The sequence below is a fragment of the Homo sapiens genome, chromosome 13, assembly GCF_000001405.40.
Source record: "Homo sapiens chromosome 13, GRCh38.p14 Primary Assembly".
In the NCBI taxonomy this organism is placed as follows: domain Eukaryota; kingdom Metazoa; phylum Chordata; class Mammalia; order Primates; family Hominidae; genus Homo; species Homo sapiens.
This window is the reverse complement of record NC_000013.11, coordinates 95,042,793-95,060,170: the sequence shown is the minus strand read 5'-3', so window position 1 is coordinate 95,060,170 and position 17,378 is coordinate 95,042,793. Positions and strand designations below refer to the sequence as shown.

General features: G+C 40.2%; 1 protein-coding gene across 4 annotated transcripts in view, besides 1 other annotated feature; it reads left to right on the top strand.

The window, feature by feature from the left end:
* Positions 1-17,378, top strand: part of ABCC4 (ATP binding cassette subfamily C member 4 (PEL blood group)) — a 281,617-nt gene that overhangs the window by 241,281 nt on the left and 22,958 nt on the right. For all 4 annotated transcript variants that reach the window (NM_001301829.2, NM_005845.5, XM_047430034.1 and 1 more), the window contains 3 exons: positions 6,987-7,076; positions 15,733-15,905; positions 16,384-16,489. In NM_001301829.2, coding sequence (NP_001288758.1) covers positions 6,987-7,076; positions 15,733-15,905; positions 16,384-16,489 — 369 coding nt within the window. The remainder of the gene's footprint in view (positions 1-6,986; positions 7,077-15,732; positions 15,906-16,383; positions 16,490-17,378) is intronic.
* Positions 8,762-8,951: an enhancer, noted in NCBI's record as "active region_7867". NCBI's record gives its function as "activates an Ori minimal core promoter by ATAC-STARR-seq in GM12878 lymphoblastoid cells {active_cell/tissue: GM12878}" and the evidence as "EXISTENCE:reporter gene assay evidence [ECO:0000049][PMID:35858748]".

The window sequence follows — 17,378 nt, the reverse complement described above, 5'->3', positions numbered from 1 at the left end:
CTTTCCTTTTTAACTTTGTATGGCTTTGTCTCCAAGGCTCAATGTTGGTTGAAAAAAAGAAACATAGTCTAGAGGGACTGTGCAATACTTAATGCGACCCAGGAAATCATTCAGCAGACTGCCTGGGATAGAATCTTTCAGAGCATCTTCTAAGCGTCAACACGACCCACATTTTTATTCCAGCACTGCCTGATAGAAGTGTGACCTCAATGAAGTCACTTAGCCTCCAAGCTTCAGTTTCCTCATCCTTAAACCAAACCTAGTAATTACTAACTTACAGATTTGTTGTGAAGATTTTACTAGATGAGAACATGTTTGTGGCCCTACTCTGGGTTCTGAGGAATGCTCAATAGTAACTATTTCTAATTAAGGATTGGGGTGCAGGCCTTTAGGGCATTATTGCTACTCGCTATTCTAGAAGGACTTGGCTCATTAACTTCTGTTTCTATTTTTGTGATCCTTGGTGAATTCCTTTAACCAAATTGTTTATGTAAATTTAAATAGTGAAGCAGCAACAAACAAAAAAAAATGTGCACAATAAAAGCCTAAGAGAGAAATCTAATGTTTTTCTCACAAGGAACAAAAGGTGAGGCTATCACTTTGTTTTCTGGCTTTCCCCCACCCCGGTCTTAGCGGCATTCCTCACCACTCTCAGTACCCCTCTAATGCTTTGCATTTCGCGAGCAGGCAGCCGACACTGGTTCTCAGCCCTGCGTGAGAACAGGGGCTTGTCCCTCTTAGATCCAGTGCTTTAGTGATTGTTGCGTCCCAGACAAGTTACACAAGTAGTGAGAATTCCTAACATTTGCAGAATCCTTAACATGGTTATCTTCTTTCCTTGCCATCTCCCACTTCGTCCTCACAGCAATTCTGTGTCATCCTCATTTGACACATTTTCAAACTGAGGCACAGAGAGCTTAACCCACTTAACAAGTAAACAGCAGAGTCAGGATTCAAATGGAATTTACGGCGAATCTCAATGCCAGATCCTGAGTTCCTGAACCCTCTCCTAGGGACTTTAAACCCATGTTGGCTGGCGCAGTCCCCGATCAGAACTCTGCTTTGCAACATGATTTAGTGTGGGCTTGTGCAGGTGCGCACACACGCACAGAAACAAAAGTCTCACAACACGATATTACTCCATGCTTCTGCGCCCTGATATTTTCTATTATATCCATTCTATTCTGGTTCATATAAAAGACATAAGGATGGTCATGAGTCACAAAAGTGATTTCATGATCCATTGGTTGCACCTGCCATTTGAAGAACAGCGTGCCTCACTGTGCTGCCCTGCTTGGCCGGGCTCCTGCTGCCTGGCAGCACCGTGCAAGGAGCCTTATGACACAGTGATTGTCACTGCAGCCCTGCAGGGTGTGTCAAGTTAGCCCCATTCTCCAGGAAGGAAACTAAGGCTCAGGGAGATTAATAACTTACCTGGAGATGAACAGCTAATAAGTAGTAGAATCAGAACTCAGAACTATCCAGCTCAATTTTTTTTCAGTAAGTATTTGTTGGACAGCATGATATCTCATCAGACATTTTACTCATTGTTTTTCTTTTCTTTTTCTTTTTCTTTTCTTTTTTTTTTTTTTTTTTTTTTTTTGAGATGGAGTCTTGCTCTGTTGCCAGGCTGGACTGCAGTGACGCCATCTCAGCTCACTGCAATATCTGCCTCCTGGGTTCAAGCGATTCTCCTGCCTCTGCCTCCCGAGTAGCTGGGATTACAGGTGCGTGCCACCACACCCAGCTAATCTTTGTATTTTTAGTAGAGACAGAGTTTCACCATGTTGGCCAGGATGGTCTCGATCTCCTGACCTTGTGATCCGCCTGCCTCAGCCTCCCAAAGTACTGTTTGTTTTTCTGTCTACCCAACTTACAAAAGGTTCCCAGAAGCCATAACCAAAGAGAGCAAATATACAGCAAAGTCAAAAGGTATCTTTTCTTTGAACTTTATCTGTCATTTGGACAGTTAGGTCATTTTGAAAGACTGAATCATTTGTGATTTATTTTTATTTTTATTTTTATTTTTTCCAAAACCTTAAGTGACACTAAGCACTAAAAGAAAATCATTTTGGAAACAGAGTGTATTCACTTATGTGTCGTGGGCTAGTGAGCGTCAGAAGATCCTCCAAGCCTTACCTTGTGGGAGCTCAGAGCCCTTTTTCTTCCGAGGCCTCGCTGGCTGCAGAGGGTGGAGAAGGCTGGAGACTTGAGGTTGCATGAAGGTTACTGGTCTGCAGTGCAGAAAGCATACACCCCTCTTCCTCAGAAGTGAGTGGAAAGCCAAATGGCTTGTGTCACCACACACTGATGTAGGGAATCTAGGAAGTTTGGGAGCAAACACAGCAAAAGCAGAACCAAGTGCTGTTTCTTCGAATGGCCATGTTTGGGCAAGTCTAGCCTGCATGGCTTCCTGGGGTTGTGTGGAGCACGAGTTTCTGTGTTCTCTCTCTTCCTGGCTTATCCCTTTCATTTATGGTTCAGGGTCCTCTGTCACTCTTGACCACACCATTAGCAACTCAAATTCGTGGTTAGGATTAAGCAGCAAGGACCTGGGAAAGAACTGGGGCACAGAAATGATGACATACATAGTCAGGGGCCAGTCCTGGAGTCACTTTAAGAAACAAATACTGGGCCGGGCACGGTGGCTCACGCCTGTAATCCCAGCACTTTGGGAGGCCAAGGAGGGTGGATCACGAGGTCAAGAGATCAAGACCATTATGGCCAACATGGTAAAACCCCGTCTCTACTAAAAATACAAAAATTAGCCGGACGTGGTGGTGCGCATCTGTAGTCCCAGCTGCTCGGGAGGCCGAAGCAGGAGAATTGCTTGAACCCCAGAGGCAGAGGTTGCCATGAGCTGAGATTGTGCCACTGCACTCCAGCCTGGCGACAGAGGGAGACTCTGTCTCAAAAAAAAAAAATACTGAATTCTTAAGAAAGTACCCCTCAATTTGTATTCAAAATTTCAGGAAGAAGCGAACAGTGAAAGTACTTCCTAAATAATTTCCCTAAACAGAATAGTTAGCTGAAATGTATGCTTCTTTTGTGTTCATGACACAGGGTAGTTAAGTGCACTTCCCAAGGAGAACACCAAGGTGATACTATAACTCAGACAAGAGTTTGCTTAACTGAAGGATCTGGAAAAATGGATTTCAAAACTTTTTTTAGGATGGATTATTTACTCCTCCAATCCTACTGGCACAAATAAATGTTTTCAACTAAAGAGTAACTTCATGCAAATTCAACATTTATGATAGCACCCTAACGGTTGGCATACATCAACAGCTATAATCTTTGTTAGGATTAAACAGATTCATTTTTCATATTTGATGGACTTTTTTGTTTTTCTATCAAAGCAAAAGCTAAGTAGTTTTTAAGCAGCCCACTGCTCAGACTTCTGCTATCTTGGTATTTCTACTCCCTGAATTTTCTTCAGTAAGTTGAAAAGGTTAACCAGAGTGTGTCTCTTTAAGACTTCTTTTTTTATTACCTGATTTTCTTTCCTTTTTTTTTTTTTTTCTTCTTTTTGAGAACAAAATTCAAAGGGAAAAGAGGTAGGTATGCAGTTACTAGTAAAGAAATACAATTGGATTCTGGCCTAATGCAGTCAGTCCTTTGTTTCTGCACACTGAAGTCTTCATTAAGGCCATGGAACTGCTCCCTGGAGCTGGTGACCTTTTTGTATCTAAAGAAGACTTTACACGACTTAAATTCTTTTTCCTTTGTTGGTGAACAATGTTCTTTTCTTCTGAAAATGGATGATGATCAGTTCATTCAGAGGCTACAGGGTTTTTTTAAAAAAGAAGGGAAACCAAGATTTAAAGTGACTTCAGGTGATTCCCTGATTCTTGACACAGGGAGATGAGCTGCCCTGAATCAAGGTCTTCAGGATTTGAAATGCACACATAGCTCTGAGGACATCAGGCAGCAGCAGTTGTGGCTAGCTACTGTGCAGTGTATATTTTAAGAGAGCGAAGTTTCCTGGTTTGGGACAAGATTAGGGTAAAGTATTGTGCTTTGTCCTGCTGGTTTGTAACTCCCCATGCGATTTTTGTCTTGGTCCCAGGTCGTTTTAAGTGTCTGAAGGTTGGTGGATAGAGTTTCTTCTTGAGATAATGAGAGGCTTGTCTTCCAGAAGTTTATATGAAAGCTCTAGGAAGACTGTAATTTTCAGTCTTGCAGTCCTGCTGAGGGATTATCAATTTACTGCACTAAATGCTTTGATTCAGAGCGGCCATTTTTAGGTCACGTGGTGGGTTTTTTTTTTGCTGTTGTTGCTGTTGTTTTGAGACAGTCTTGCTCTGTCTCCCAGGCTGCAGTGCAGTGGTGCTATCTTGGCTCACTTCAACCTCCACCTCCTGGGTTCAAGTGATTCTCCTGTCTCAGCCTCCCGAGTAGCTGGAATTACAGGCGCACCCCACCCTGCCTGGCTACTTTTTGTATTTTTAGTAGAGATGGGATTTCACCATGTTGGCCAGGCTGGTCTTGAACTTCTGACCACCAGTGAACCACCTGCCTCGGCCTCCCAAAGTGCTGGGATTACAGGCATGAGCCACCACACCCAGCCTGGTCACATGTTTAATATCAGCTTGTCTTATGTGAGTAATGAGGACAAAATTACTACTCAGTATGGCGCAAAGATTTTTAAAAAGTATGACCTTTAAACCCTAATGAAAAACAGGTTTGATCTGGTGCTTCATTTAAAATAATACGTTGAACAGAACATTGGTTTTGCTAACAATGGAGGTTAAAACTCGTACTAAATGACATTTTAAAATATATACCATCAATAAATATGTACTTAGGCTACTAAATCTTTTACATTTTACATGAAGATTGTATGTTTACCATAAATCTCTACTCTGAAATGTTCTGCCTGCAGAGGTTGGAATTTTAGAGTTGATAATTACAAAGAGTAAGTCAAGTTTTTATCTTTTAATCTGAAATAACCAGAATGATGGTTATTCCCCTCACAAGAAATTCCCACCATTGTTTAGATGGTTGTTCAGGTTTTGGTCTTCAGTTGGGTACTTTTAAGACAGACCTTACCTGTGACTCTTGGAATTTTTCAGTTCCATTTGGTAATTCAGAAACATCATGTGACCAGTGACTTTTCAGTGCTTTTGGAAGGATATTGGCCACTTTATCAGCTTTATACACACAAAGTGCCCATTTTACCGTCGTTTCCATTTTTGCATTTTGCTGAGGACTTATGTTTTTGGTGGCACCCTGTCTGCCTTCTACATCCATTTCTTCCTCACCAGCCTTAAAACGGAGACGATAGGGAAAGGGATGAGAGCCTCCCTGGATATCATTTTTCTTTATGGCTGGAGAAAAAAGAAGTCTACCACCTTTATCTCTCTTCTCAGGCTTTTGGGAAGTGAGGAGGAACAGTCCTGCCCCAAAGCCAGGTGAGATTTGAGGCCAGTGGTTCCCTTGAGCATTTCTCCAGTACCTGTGGAAGAGTCTCACCTTCTCTTGTTCCCACATCTGTGCATCCCCTTGTTCTGCCCCTATCCTTGAAAGCAGTTGATGGGGCTCCTATATCCTTATGGCCTGGCTTATTAGAGCCTTCCAGAAGAAAAGTTTGTGTTTTTGTTTTTTTGTTGTTTTTTTTTTTAAGATGGAGACTTGCTCTGTGGCCCAGGCTGGAGTGCAGTGACGGAATCTTGGCTCACTGCAACCTCTGCCTCCCAGGTCAAAGTGATTCTCCTGCCTCAGCCTCCCAAGTAGCTGGGACTACAGGTGCCCGCCACCGCACCCAGCTACCAGAAGAAAACTTTCACACAGCCTACCTAAGCTTATGTTCAAGAGTCTCTCTTGAAATCCAGGAAGAGGCTGATATTCCAAGAGTGATTTAATTGTGGGATCCTCCTGAAGCAGATGAATAGGAACAGCTATTTAAATTGATGTAATTTTATTATGACCTCCTTCACAGTGGTTTTCAGGTAACCCTGCTTTCTTAGTTAATAATGAGGTTCTGTGACCCAGGTAACCTTGATGCACAGATGAGATAATGTGGGGATTCACTGATGCAAAATCAGAGGCAATCCTTTCATAAGTAGAGGTGCCTCTGGCCCCAGTTGTTTAGATCTCCTTTGGCCAAAAAAAAAAAAAAAAAAAAAAAAAAAAAAAAAAAAAAAAAAGGATGTCCCATTCTGACATTGGAGAGATTTTTTTTTTTTTTTTTGAGAAGGAGTTTTGCTCTTGTTGCCCAGGCTGGAGTGCAATGGCACGATCTCGGCTCACTGCAACCTCCACCTCCTGGATTCAAGCGATTCTCTTGCCTCAGCCTCCTAAGTAGCTGGGATTACAGGCATGTGCCACCATGCCCAGCTAATTTTTGTATTTTTAGTAGAGACAGGGTTTCACTATGTTGGTCGGGCTGGTCTAGAACTCCTGACCTCAGGTGATCCACCCGCCTCGACCTCCCAAAATACTAAGATTACATGCGTGAGCCACTGCGCCCGGTGAGAGATTCTTAATCTTGGAAAACTGTTTTGCCAACGGAGAAAATAATCCTAATTTATTCTTTAGTGCAAATTGGAAAATGCTTAATAATTTGGCTTTGAAGCACAAACTTTAATCATGCTGTCGGTATTTTCCAGTATTACATGATTGATAGTTAATTTCTATAGCTCTATTCATGTAGACCCTCGAATAATTATATCCTTATATTTCATGTTAAGCTAATAATATGAGGAAAACAGTTTTAAACATCAGGCCTGTATTTTTCATTTTCTTCTTAAGATAGCACATTGCAACAGTTTTGTTAGTGTTCAGTGGTCTGGAAGGTATTTTGGAGCACGCTTTGTACAGTGGAACATTAATAGATATGTTGTTTTGTAAACAGGCATTTGTAACGCTATAATTATTATCATGAATTTTATTTTTTGGTATCTTAATTCTATTGTTGATGTTAGCATTGGAATAAAATGAAAAAAGAGTCTGTGGTAATGACCGTGACTATTTTGGGCACTTAGGAACCTGTTTTGTTCACTGGAACAATGAGGAAAAACCTGGATCCCTTTAATGAGCACACGGATGAGGAACTGTGGAATGCCTTACAAGAGGTAATTGATAAAATGTAATTATCTTTAGTCTGTTAGCCTCAGTATGTGTATATGTACCTTTACAGCATTGCAGGAAATTAAGAGGAGCTTAGCGGTTTAACTAACTTTGTTCACCACCCAGGAGATCATTGAGGATGTGGATATGCTATAATGTGTATACTGATGATGATGAAAACCAAAAATAAAATTTCCCTGGTTCTCATTTTAATTTTCTTCCTGTTGTCCAAAACAGTTTGGTGTTGTTTTATTTGTCTTTAGCAATGCGTTAAACTAGAAGTTGTATTTATGAGTTGAGATCCTATTAGTGACTAAGTTACTCTGCACCATTTATTTTACTGCTCTGTTCTTAGGGAATTTCTAGTAAGGGAAGACCATAGTCGTTTTTCATTAACTAAAAGATAGATCATATTTATGAAATGCTTTAAGTTTTATAAGAAAGTGTTTATAAAGGTAAATTATACAGTTGGAATGGGATAATAATTATTTATTGGCAAACGTGTAATTTTAATGCAGATAACAGAACCCTGCAGCCTCTGCTAAGGTTTTATACTAATATGTTGATTTCTAGAGGATTTTTCTATTATTTATGTGGTTCCTGTTGGGCCACTTCTTGAAATTTTCTCACCCTTGCATGAAAAAAGGACTTTGACTATTAAGGTGCTGTTGGTTTGTGTATTTTAACACTGATTTTCTGTGTTCAGTCTAGTTCTGCAAATTTGTGCCAGTCTACTTGATGGCAGAAACCATATCATAAAACTGGTAATCCCTCACAGGACCTAGTTTAGTCTTTTGCTTTTAAAAAGTAAGCATTTAAGGCTGGGTGCAGCGGTTGATGCCTGTAATCCCAGCACTTTGGAAGTCTGAGGTGGGTGAATCACTGGAGGTCAGAAGTTTGAGACCAGCCTGACCAACATGGTGAAACCCCATTTCTACTAAAAATACAGAGATTAGCTGGGTATGGTGGTGTGCGCCTGTAGTCCCAGCTACTCAGGAGGCTGAGACAAGAGAATTGCTTGAACCTGGGAGGCCAAGGTTGCAGTGAGCCGAGATCGTGCCACTGCACTCCCATCTGGGCGACAGAGCAAGACTCCGTCTCAAAATAAATAAATAAATAAATAAAAATAAAAATTGGCCAGGCCCGGTGGCTCATGCCTGTAATCCCAGCACTTTGGGAGGCTGAGGCGGATGGATCACGAGGTCAGGAGTTCCAGACCAGCCTGGCCAACTTGGTGAAACCCTGTGTCTACTAAAAATACCAAAATTAGCCAGACGTGGTGGTGCGCATCTGTAGCCCCAGCTACTCAGGAGGCTGAGGCAGGAGAATTGCTTGAACCTGGGAGGCGGAGGTTGTGGTGAGCCAACATTGTGCCACTGCACTCCAGCCTAGGCAACAAGAGTGAAACTCCATCCCAAAATAAATAATAAATATTAAAAGTTAAAAAAAAGTAAGCATTTAATAAGTATGTATTAATATGTTTGATCTCTTCATTTCAAAGAAGTGTGGAGCCTGGACAACATGGTGGACTTTGTCTCTACTAAAAATAAAAAAAAAAAAAGAATTAGCCAGATGTGGTGGCATGCACCTGTAGTCCCAGCTACTCAGGGAGTTGAGGTGGGAGGATCTTGTGAGCCCTGGAGGTCGAGGCTGCAGTGAGCCATGATTGCACCACTGCACTCCAGCCTGAGTGACAGAGATTAATTTCCCTCCATTGTTATTGTTGTTGTTTTGAATTGGTGCATTTGTCATTGTTGCCCTTCCAGGGATAGCTCTGAAATCTTTAATTTATAGATGGGTTTTGACTGTGAGCAAGTAGACTTGGAGGCCTGACAGTTTCCTGCCAGTAATTCTTGTTTCTGAAGGCATGTCATTGCCGAGTCCTTACACACCCACCCTGCTTTCCAGCAACTGTGGGGATTTTCTTTTTCTAAATTAGGTCGATTACTTCACCTCCTGATACTTGATAAGCAATTGACCTCTGATTTCATTTAAATTTGTGAATCTCTGTACAGTGAAATTCTAGGAGAGAAGAGGTGGGTACAGTTAACTGTCAAATGTAAAGAAAGATAAGGCAATCCTGTGCCCCTAAACTCTCAGGACAGGTTTAATAGTGAAATTGTGACACACCCTAAAAGAACAAGAATTACTCATAAAGTGTTTTTCTATTTGTTTCAGAGCTTGAGATTCCTTGTCACAGATTCTCAGAGAGCAAAAGTACTTTTTAGAAACACATTTCTCTATGAACAGTGAAGAAATGTTAATTGGGAGATGATCCTATCAAAAACCATCATGGAACTTGACTGTAACTCATACTTATTTCATTTGTTATAGCCAAAATTAAAATAAAATTTAGTAGCCTCTCAAGAATTCTAGAAATGATGAGGTGGAAGACGTGGTAGGTCCCCCTCAGAAGTGAAAAATTATCCCATCATTGTCTTTCTCTGGGAACTACTTCTTTATGGCATTGTAGGTTTTTCTGTGAATGATTTGGAAGAGTTACTAAAAATTAGGGTACAACATTGTATTTCCAGTGTGATTCCAGCTGTTTTTAATCATTCTTATATTCTGACACCTGACCTAAGAAAGACACCAGAGCATTTACATTGCTCGTTTGGGGGTAATGAGACAAAGACTGGAGGAGAGTGTTTTCTTTTCTCTACAGTTTTCCTGGATTTTCCAAATTTCCTTCTGGGTGCTTGTATTCTTTTTACCTTCTAGATGGTCAGGGGAAAGGCTGAGCACTCCTAACAAATGAAGCATTGTGAGTTTTTCACAACAAGTTTCATGACTACAAGTTGATGGAGGCTGGGGGCATTCTGATAGGTCAGGAATTCTTCCCCTGGGGTCCGTGGAGTCTGAGGGTCTTCTCGTAGAGAATTCCAAATCTTACTTCCTGGTGATTGTAAACGTGAAGTTATGTGTGTGTGTTTATCTTGAGAGATACCACACAAGGGATTCAGCACCACGACTCTGGTGCCATTCAAGTTTCTCTGGACTTCTCTGTCACATTCTGTCTCTCTGCTGTCTCCATGGTTTTCATCTTTCATTGATATCCAGTTCAGAACTGGATAACTCATCTTGCTCTTTAGTAGGAAACCTGGTGTCATTTGGAAACCCCCTTTAAAGCAGACAAAAAACATAGTCACTTGGTTTATAAATGAGGCCAAACTGGAAATGGGAACCCAAACTCAGAGGGTTGGCTTGAGATTAGGACAGCACTGTCAGTTTTTTCCTCTTTAACCACTTAAAAGGTGGTTTAACCACATAAAAAGGAAAGATGCCTTTTATTTCTTGGAAGTTTTTTTTATTTCTTCTTACCCATGATCCCTTGGAAAGGGTAATACCTGACATGCAAAAGAAGTTCGGGCATCTGGAGGGAGACAGTCCTATGGATGTGGTTGTGTCATCTTGGTTATTTTTTTATTTATTTATTTTTATTTATTTATTTATTTATTTGAGACAGAGTCTCACTCTGTCATCCAGGTTGGAATGCGGTGGCACAGTCTCGGCTCACTGCAACCTCCGCCTCCCGGGTCCAAGCGATTCTCCTGCCTCAGCCTCCCGAGTAGCTGTGATTACAGGTGCCTGCCACCATGCCGGCTACTCTTTTTGTATTTTTAGTAGAGACGGGGTTTCACCATGTTGGCCAGGCTGGTCTCAAACCCCTGACCTCGTGATCCACCTGCTTCAGCCTCCCAAAGTGCTGGGATTACAGGCGTGAGCCACCGCGCCTGGCCTATTTTTATTTATTTATTTATTTTTTTAGACAGAGTCTTGCTCTGTCGCCCAGGCTGGAGTGCAGTGGTGCAATCTCAGCTCACTGCAAACTCTACCTCCTGGGTTCAAGTGATTCTCCTGCCTCAGCCTCCCAGGTAGCTAGGATTAAAGGCAAGCCCCACCATGCCTGGCTAATTTTTGTATTTTTAGTAGAGACAGGGTTTTGCCATGTTGGCCACACTGGTCTCAAACTCCTGACCTCAAGTGATCTGCCTGTCTCGGCCTCCCAGAGTGCTGGGATTACAGGCGTGAGCCACCACACCCTGCTCGTTTTTTGGGGTTTCTTTTCTAATGCTGAAAGTTATCGTAAATACTGAAAAATAGTCAGCTGTAAATGGAAGAAAGTTTACTAGAATTAGTGCCACTTCGGGCCCCTAAATAAGAGCAACTCTGTAAATATAACGTAAGTAATGATTAAAGATGGAAGTCGTTTATGAGAAAAAAGTCAAAAGATCACACAGTAGGTACAACTAAGAAAATGAATCAGCAGCACGTTATTTCTGTTAATTAAAAAACGACTTTAATACTGGGATCTACAATTAAGACTAGGTTATATCATGTTGGAATAGTGGAGAAATTATCTAATCATGTTCAACATTGATAGAATTGCTGTTAGAATACAAGGATGTCTTGTATTCAGGACACCATAAGACAGAAATCTGCACATCAGCAGTGTCCACATCCTCTGGGCCTTCTATTCCCCACACCTTGCACCTCCATTTTTCCCAGGCCTGTATTGCCCAGAATGGGCTTCCGCTCGCTTCGTTCACACTTAGCTGTGTTCTTGTTAAAGGTTGTTCCCATCTGTTGAGTTGCTGTTTATCACATTTCAGTCTCTGGCATCAGAGACTTCCTTTATGAAAAGTCAGAAAGTTCAAAGAAACATGGAAACAGAATCTGACATCCACATGAGTCTCTTTGAGGCTTTGAAAACATTTATGATGATAGAAATGGGCTGTCTTAGAAAGTTCAGTTCATTATTTTCACTTTTCCTGTAGTTTCCTATTTTTTCTAAGCTTCAAAATAACCTGATACATTGTGTTTGAAATGTATAGTTTCAAATAGTATGATTTGATTTTGTTTTCCTGAAATTACAACCTTTATTAAATGTAGAAAACATTAAGTTTTCTATATTTTAAAGTATAATGTTATGATATCTTGGAGCCAATTAATTTTATAAGGACTGTTTCTTTTACAATGACATTTAGTAAGAAAATTGTATGTAAATTCTATTTCTTTGTGGATTTACTTTGTAATTTATAAGAATAGACATGTCACAAAATGAGGTATCCTTGTGACTTCATACATTCAACAGATTATGTGTGGGGAGGTTTTTACATAGGCATTGTAGACTCTGGAGCTATAGCAGTCATCAAGAGAGATAAAATCCCTACCCTCTTAGGGCACAAATTCTTGTATGGAAGATAGAAAATAAGAAAATGCATATGTAATATAATATTAGGTACTGGTAAATGCAGTGAAGAAAACTACAGCAGTGCATGAAAAGAACTAGCTGACTGCATTATTAAAAATAGGCGGCTGGGCGTAGTGGCTCACGCCTGTAATCCCAGCACTTTGGGAGGCCGAGGCGGGTGGATCACGAGGTCAGGAGATCGAGACCATCCTGGCCAATATGGTGAAACCCCATCTATACTAAAAATACAAAAACAAAATTAGCCAGGTGTGGTGGTATGCACCTGTAGTCCCAGCTACTCGGGAGGCTGAGGCAGGAGAATCGCTTGAACCTGGGAGGCAGAGATTGCAGTGAGCTGAGATCGCACCACTGCACTCCAACCTGGGTGACAGAGCAAGAATCCACCTCAAAAAAAAAAAAAAAAAAAAAGAATAGGCAGTATTTCATTGTCCAGGAAGGAGCAAAATAAACAAAAAGAATAGATATTATCTATTGATCTCTTACTTGGTACCAAGCACTATTGTAAATGCTACACATACTGACTGATTTTATACTCCAACAATTTTAGGAGATAAACATCTTCAAAATAATCTTAGTATGGTCTTATTTACAAGTTAATTAGGAAGCTAAGATAGAGAAAGTTCAGGAACTTGCCCAGTTGGCAGAGCCAGGCAGGACTCATACCCATGCTGTGTGTCTTCAAGGCTCCATTTTTTTATTTTAAAATGTCCAAATCACAGAACAGTCAAATGAATAGTATTATGAACATACACATACCCTTCTCCAAGATTCACCATTTGTTAATACGGTATTTTGCTACATTTGCTTCCTCTCTTATAGCCCTTGAAAGTAAGTTGCAGACATTTCCATGAAGTTGCAGTTCATCCTTAAATATGTATGTGTACCTCCTAAGAACAAGAACATTCAACTACATGACATAATACAGTTATTTACCTCACTGAAGAAATTGAAGAGTAATGTAATACCATTGTTTAATATATTTTCAATTTCCCCAGTTGTCACTCTTAGTCACTGTGTTCCACTGCCTCCATTGTCTTTTTCTCAGTGCTAATACTTAACCATAACTTGAATGTATGATAACACTACAGAGGGCCTTCACATTCATATCTTTTTTTTTTAATTGAGACAGAGTCTTACTCTGTCACTCAGGCTAGAGTGCAGTGGCGCGATCTTGGCTTATTGCAACCTCCGCCTCCCTGGTTCAAGCAATTCTCCTGCCTCAGCCTCCTAATGGGATTACAAGTGCCCGCCACCATGCCCAGCTAATTTTTTTTGTATTATTAGTAGAGATGGGATTTCACCATGTTGGCCAGGCTGGTCTCGAACTCCTGACCTCAGATGATCTGCCTGCCCCAGCCTCCCAAAGTGCTGGGATTACAGGCATGAGCCACTGTACTTGGCCATACATTCATATCATTCTCATAACCATCCCCGATTCAATCATGATGACAGAGTCTCAGAAGACACTGTTATCTGGGAAATGTGTTCATTATTCTTCACCTCACAACCCTATTCTTCATCAAGTCAATGTGGATAACCTCAAGGAGGGTCAAAACCCAGAAGAATGATGGGTTGGCCCCTTAATCAAGGGCAAGTGTGAGATTATTTCTTCAAATCTGGCTGCCGGTCTTAGAAAAGACCTTTTTGCACTTACCAGTATTATCAAAATCAACTCAGAAGGAAAAGCTAATAAAAACTTTGCTAACATCTACTTTTGATCAGTTCCATCACATGGGGTATAGGTCTGTGAGTATGTTTCATAAAAAGATTACTCAGCAAGTCCTCTTCTTTGTAATGGAGAGGGTTTGACTAAGCTGACATATTCCATCCTATAATTTTCAGGGTAACATTTTGCACCACGAGCCAAATCTTACACTTCGGATTTTAATTTCCTACCTTGCATGCTAATGCCAAATATCAATACCATATTTAATCTTAACTCAAAATTCCTGTTTCTTGGAGTTGGACTTCCATCATGAGTACAACTCAAGATCACATTCATAGAAGTGTGCTTCCGTGTTTAAGGTACATGACAATGTTACCCGTTTACTCTTGGCTTTTTGTTGTTGGGCATTGTAGTTCTGTACACCTGCTTATTGGCCATCACTCATCTATCTGCTTGCTGATCTCTTAATTGGAGATGTATTGACTCTTGGTTCCTCTATAGCTCTCAAATGTCACCTGAGTTTGGCTCTTGTTCTATAAAATTTCTCCAAAACAAACATCAGTGAACTGAACCACCACCCAATGTAGTATCAGATCATCTTATAGCTACAATTTTATAAAGATACATTAATATCAACATCATCTATCCCCGTCGTCTGGGGCAAGATGTTATATTGTGTCCTGTTTTTTTGTGAGTTTTCATTCACTGCAAAACATTTATTAGACTGTAGAAAATGTACTGACCTACTTTATAGCCATAGGGGCTTAAACTTGGGAAAGGACCAGCCCAAGAATAAGCTCCTGATTTCCTAACAAATGAGGCACAGTTTCCCATTGTTTGCATTTGTATTTTTTTAACTTTTCCAGTTGATTAAAAAACCTTCCAAAATGGTAAAGTGCCTATAAGATGATATCTTTGGAGGACCATACTTCCTGCAGTAATTTTCTTTTTAAATTTTCCCTTGAGTTATACTCACTCGTCTCCAAAATGTGCTTTGGGAAACTTGACTCAACCAGAAAGATCCTTTCACCTTTTCTTCAGACTCTATATTGGGAGCATGAGCTTCATTTTTTGAGAAACTTCCTTCCCTACCTGGAAGAGGGGTTCTTGTTGGCTGTCATGTTGGTTATTGGTAAGGGAGTTCAGGTGCTGGGGGACACTGATATGATTTTTTTCCAACAACTCTATTGAGGTCTAATTTGCATAGCAGAAAATGCTCCCCTTAGAAGTGATTCAGTGATTTTGGTAAATTTATAGAGTTGTGCAGTCATTGCAGGAATCCAGTTTTAAAACATCTCTCTTACCCCAAGAAATTTCCTTGTGTCCATTTACAGTTAATCCTCCAGCCCCTTGGCAACCATCACTCTTATTGTCTCTCTAAATTTCTGTAATCTTTTAACTAAAAAGAAGGGAATTTTTTTTATCTTTCTGTATTTTACCTACAGAATACTTTTATTGATCATACTGTGTTTTTCTTAATGAAATTGGCCCAGGCAGTATTAACACGTGACCCTGCATGAACAGACTGTGTTTGCTGATGGTGATAAAGGAGCATCTTGGGTTCCATTGTTTGTTCTCTTAAGTCAGAATATTTCCGTTTTGTGTTGACTCTACCATCTTTCTCATTGAACATTAACTAGAGGTAATTCAGCCTCATGTGTGTGTCCACTTAAGTTATATCTCTCGAGAGAAGGGACTTGAAGGTTCTAATGTCTATGAGGCTTGACTACTTCCATAGCGGCTTGAATGATAGCAGTCATTCTTCTTTGTACATCTACAGGTACAACTTAAAGAAACCATTGAAGATCTTCCTGGTAAAATGGATACTGAATTAGCAGAATCAGGATCCAATTTTAGTGTTGGACAAAGACAACTGGTGTGCCTTGCCAGGGCAATTCTCAGGAAAAATCAGATATTGATTATTGATGAAGCGACGGCAAATGTGGATCCAAGGTATAAAGCTGAGGTCCATGTAACCTTGAGTCCACATTTTAAGTGTGTAAATGGGAAACATGGAATGATTCTGAGAAATATTTCTAAGTGCTCTGTTTGCCCCAGACATAACATTTTAACATGGATAAATTCATTCTGAAAAAAAAAGAAGAAACCCAAACGTGTTTTCCAGTGTCAGAGATATTATTCAGTATCCCAGGAGAGCTAGATTCCTAAAATCCACTCCCAATAATCAGCTTTAAGCAATTTGGAGGGAAGACATTTTTCGTTGTTTTATGAAAATTAGTAAATTACTACATAGATTTTTATACTTGTTTTTAAAGAATAAGATTGTCCTAAAACATTTTAACATGATTTTTAAAACATTAAATAGATATGATCTTTTTTTTTTAAATCTCTATTGTGAAGTAGAGCTTTTTAAGTCTTAAGTCTACTTTTTGCATCTTTACGAAATTAAACTTAACTTCTTTGATTGCAGAACTGATGAGTTAATACAAAAAAAAATCCGGGAGAAATTTGCCCACTGCACCGTGCTAACCATTGCACACAGATTGAACACCATTATTGACAGCGACAAGATAATGGTGAGTCCTTCACCTGCGGAATTCCTGTTGCTCCCAATTATGTTCACTTTTTCAGTTTATTCCTTCCTTGTAAAACTTGATAGAAACCCCTAGTAAGTTAATTTTCTGTTAATTTTGGCTCTCTTCCCAGCAGTAATTCATATGCTTAACTACACCCTCAGTGCTACTAACAATATATCCAATGTATCTCTTTGCATATAATCATATGCAAAAATCATATGTTAAAAGTTTACCATGAAAATATTCCAAATCTAAGATTCAGCTTGTGATGCTAACTGTCATACTACGGAGTAGTATCCAATAGAAGATCACAGTCATTGTCACTGTCACAGTTGTTTCAGCATGCTTGATCCCCTTAATGAAAGATTTAGGTTTTTATATACTGCAAGGGGCTTGTTGGGTAAGGTTGCAGAACTTCTATGCTGTTGGGACGTTCACAAGATACGTGTCACAGGGGAAGAGATGAGAAGATCCATCACAAATTATTTTCAGAGAGGGCCTAGCCAGAAAAACAAATGATTCCAACAGAAAGGATTTAACATAGGAAATTTGTTACATAAGAATTGGAGGGCTTAGAAAATGAAGGGAAACAGTGATAATTTTAGGAAGCAAGGCCAGGCACGGTGGCTCATGCCTGTAATCTCAGCACTTTAGGAGGCCGAGGCAGGCAGATTACTTGAGGTCAGGAGTTCGAGACCAGCCTGGCCAACGTGGGGAAACCCTGTCTCTACTAATAATACAAAGATTACCTGGATGTGGTGGCAGGCGCCTGTAGTCTAAATGTATCATATAGACTTCTTGTTGGGATTTGCTGTTACCGCATTGGTGATAGCTACTCCTTTTATTATCTAATGCTTGGAAGTGCTGTCAACTTAGAAGGTCTGATTAG